The sequence below is a fragment of the Homo sapiens genome, chromosome 1 (genome assembly GCF_000001405.40).
Source record: "Homo sapiens chromosome 1, GRCh38.p14 Primary Assembly".
NCBI classification, from domain to species: Eukaryota; Metazoa; Chordata; class Mammalia; order Primates; family Hominidae; genus Homo; species Homo sapiens.
The window spans coordinates 181206750-181210384 of NC_000001.11; the positions used below are offsets into that span (position 1 = coordinate 181206750).

The 3635-nt window shown below is 51.1% G+C and overlaps 1 annotated feature.

Annotated features, from left to right (window-relative positions):
- Positions 300-1209: an enhancer, noted in NCBI's record as "H3K4me1 hESC enhancer chr1:181176185-181177094 (GRCh37/hg19 assembly coordinates)". NCBI's record gives its function as "activates a minimal SCP1, AML or CMV promoter by ChIP-STARR-seq in naive H9 embryonic stem cells {active_cell/tissue: H9 hESC(naive)}" and the evidence as "EXISTENCE:reporter gene assay evidence [ECO:0000049][PMID:30033119]".

Sequence of the window (3635 nt, forward strand, 5' to 3'; positions counted from 1 at the left end):
GCATGGTTTTGGAGGCCTCTGCCTTGCATCTCAGTGTGTCAGAAACTGTGCCCTGGCTGTGTTCTGATTCCCCTGAGCAGGGCTTGGCACTGCTTGAGGGTGAGGAGGGCAGGCACATTGGAGAACTGACGATGACCTTACTGGCTGCAGGTGCAGAGGCCTGAGTTAGGGCGGTGTGAAGAGAAGGACAGCTACTTCCCTGGCAGACACAGGGCCTGCCTTGTTTTACCTCGCTGGAAGTCATTAGCTTGGTAACTCCTGGGCAGCCTGCTTAAACCCGTAAAACCATTGGCAGCTCCTGGGGGCACTGGAGACACAGGAGACAGAAGGGTCTCCTGCCCACCCGCCCGCCCTCCCTCCCTCGTGGCCACAGAGAGCTGAGGAGGCCCTCCTGGGTCATTGCAGAGCCTGGGCCTGGGCCATTCTGAGCTTTGCCAGCCTGCGGCTCCTGCTCCTTTTGTTATGTGCTGCAGGGAAGTGCACTGAAGCCGAGAAGGCAAGCTTCTGCTGCTCCCAGGCTGCCAGTCCATGCTTCAGAAGGCAGCCCTCATTCTGAGTTTCCGTGTGGCAAGAGCTTAGGTCCTCACTGTGGTACTGACCCCATAGTGCTGTGGGTTTGAAGGTGTCTTGGGATTCTGATATCTAGGAAACTCCCTCTGACAAGGACCTCTGAGGCCACTGCTACAACCTCAGAGCCCTGTAGGACGGTAATGTGGAGACTCAGACTGTGACTAAAGGGCCACACACCTGGTGACAGGCCGCCTCCCTGCAGTGCTCAAGCAGGGGACTGCCTGGCTGTCAGACGACCCACCAGGCGACCCTAACACACAGAGGCGACCCTAACTGCCTTTAGGTGGGTGCTCCTCCCACCTTTAAAGTCACCGCAGGCTCCTGTTGCAGTGCGGTTTCTGATTGCGCAGGCCTGGTGGGACCTGAGATTCCGCCTTCCTAAGGAGCCCCCAGGTGATGCTCATGTTGCGTTTCTCTGGAGCAACACCGTGAGAAGGAAAGCTTGAGAGCAATGGTTCTCAAACAGGGAAGCAAATACGAATCCTTGGGAAGCATTTGAAAGTTCCAGATTCCTGGGCACTGTCTGAGACTTCCTGAATCAGAGTCATTACATGATGTGTCCAAACAGCTAACAGGTGATTTGATGCATGACTTTGATTTGCAACCACTATCCTCAAGCCTTTAGTGGATGGCTAGACACCGGGAGAAATGTCTCCCCAGGCCAGTCCAAACACTTCCCTATTTTTAGCAAGATTTGCCCTTTGCAACCCTGGCCTACCATCATTCACGCTTCAACAAATTTTTATTAATTCTCTTCTGTGTTTTCATAAGGGTCTATTCTTTCTCTTCTAGGTGGACAGACAGACGGCAGATGACAGCGTCTGCTTCATGCCTCCAAGGGTGTAAAACGGAATCAGAGAAATCTCCAGTGGCTTAGGGTTCGCTAGCTTGGCTTCCTTACATGGTTGCAGAACCACTAATGTTTTCTTAATGAGCTGCCATTTACTTATGCAAATAGCAGGGCACAGATGCCAGGGGGATGAGGGCTTAGCAGAGAGGCGTGCCTCTGCATATGGCTCATGTTTTAACATGAGAGCTGCTGTCCTTGGAGCCTGCCCTCTTATTCATCTTTAACAGCCACTGTGCGGGCTGTGTGTCTGTGTATGCATGTTTGGGGGTCTTGCCAAGCTACACTGGCATGAGGGCATCTCCACCAGCCAGAGGTCCTGGTGGGAGTCATAGGCCAGCCCGTACTCTGCCGGTTCTGCCCACCTCTGTCTTGTGTCTGGCCTCACTGAGCTCTGTGAGGACTGGTAAAGGTGGGGGCAGAAGCTGTTGAACTGTACAGTGTAATGTGCTTGCTAGATCCAAACAGTGCTGTAAGTTTCATTTCTGGTCTCCATGAAAAACTTTTAGCAGAGGTTCTGTTGCATCTTGCCAAAATATTAAAACCACTCTCTTCATTTCTCGCTGGTTTTCCCAAGAAGCTTCCCCCATCACAACAAGAGAAGTTGGTGCTCGGACTTTGATGGTATAAGGTCCCTGAGTGTGTGGTTCCAGCATTGGTGTCAGCATCTTCGTTATTTAAGAGGAGTATCTTGCAGGGCTGTTGGCCTTTGGTGCCACAATAGGCACTGTTGAGACAGAACTGAATAGGCCCCTCTCCTCATGTCCAGGAACTTTTAGAACCTGCACAGGAAAGCAAAAACCTATCTGAAAAGGTGTGCTGGGTAGAGCTAGCAACATGCTTCCGAAGGGCTTCTGGGTCTGCCTGTCCTGGCATCTTATTCGTGCTGCTTTGCCTCCACGTCCTTTCTCCTATAATAACCAGTGGAGCTGCTCAGGATGTCTCCATGGACACTGCTGAGAACAGGCTCTCCCCATCTGGCCAGGCTGCCCCATAGCCTGCTGTGAAACACCTGCTGTAGAATCACAGATGCTGCCCGGTGAGGCCTTCTGCCACTTTCTGGAGATGCCAGACCTGTTACTAACACGGCCTTCCCATCCCCATACCCCATGTTTCTCTAAGCCTCAGCCTATCCTTTTCTCTCTCTGTAGCTGAGGACTTCTCTGCTGTGAACCAGTGTAGATTCTTCCTGGGAAACCAGCCTGGCAGGAAACACCGAATGGACAGTGGATGGCAGGGGTGCAGCATGGTAGAAGGCAGTGGGGGTTTCAGTCCTGGCTGTCACTTAACAGTTGTGAGACATAAATCACCTTGCCTCATGGGTCTCTGTTTCTTTTCCTTTCTTTTTGAGACAGGGTCTTACTCTGTCGCCTAGGCTGGAGTGCATTGGCAGAATCAAGCCTTGACCTCCCAGGCTCAAGTGATCCTCCCACCTCAGCCTCCCGAGTAGCTGGGACCATAGGCATGCTCCACCACACCCAGCTAATGTTTAAATGTTTTGTAGAGACAGGGTCTCACTATGTTGTCCAGGCTGGTCTCCAACTCCTGGACTCAAGCAAACCTCCCACCTAAGGCTCCCAAAGTACTGGGATTACAGGCATGAGCCACCATGCCTGGCCTCAGTTTCTTCATCTGTAAATGAGAAGCTTGGTTTGGCTTTATCTGGCCCACCCTGATTCCAAAAAACAATAAACAGCAACAAAACCAAGAAAAAACCCCATTTGTACTAACATTGAAAAGTTTCATATAAAAGTATGGATTTTGGCCAGGCTCATTCCTCTAATTCCGTTACTTTAGGAGGCTGAAGTGGAAGGATCATTTCAGGCCAGGAATTCAAGATCAGCCTGGGCACCATAGCGAGGTATAGTCTCTACAAGAATAAGAATTAGAATAAGTATAGATTTCTTCCTTCTCTAGGAAGATTGGCATATCTGGCATCATCAGGGCCTCTTGGAGGCCATTGGCTGGACCTGAGTAACTGCTGCCCCTGGCTGTGGGATGTGCTATCAGGCCCACTTCTGTTACCATGCCAGGTCACTCAGTAATTTTACCTATTTGGTTCTCTAGGCATGTATATTAGTTTCCTGGGGTTGCCATAACAAATTCCCACAAACTGAGTGGCTGAGAGCAATAGACGTTTATTCTCTCACAGTTCTGGAGGCCAGAAGTCTGAGATCAAGGTGTTAGCAGGGCCATATGCACTCCTGAGGGCTCGGGG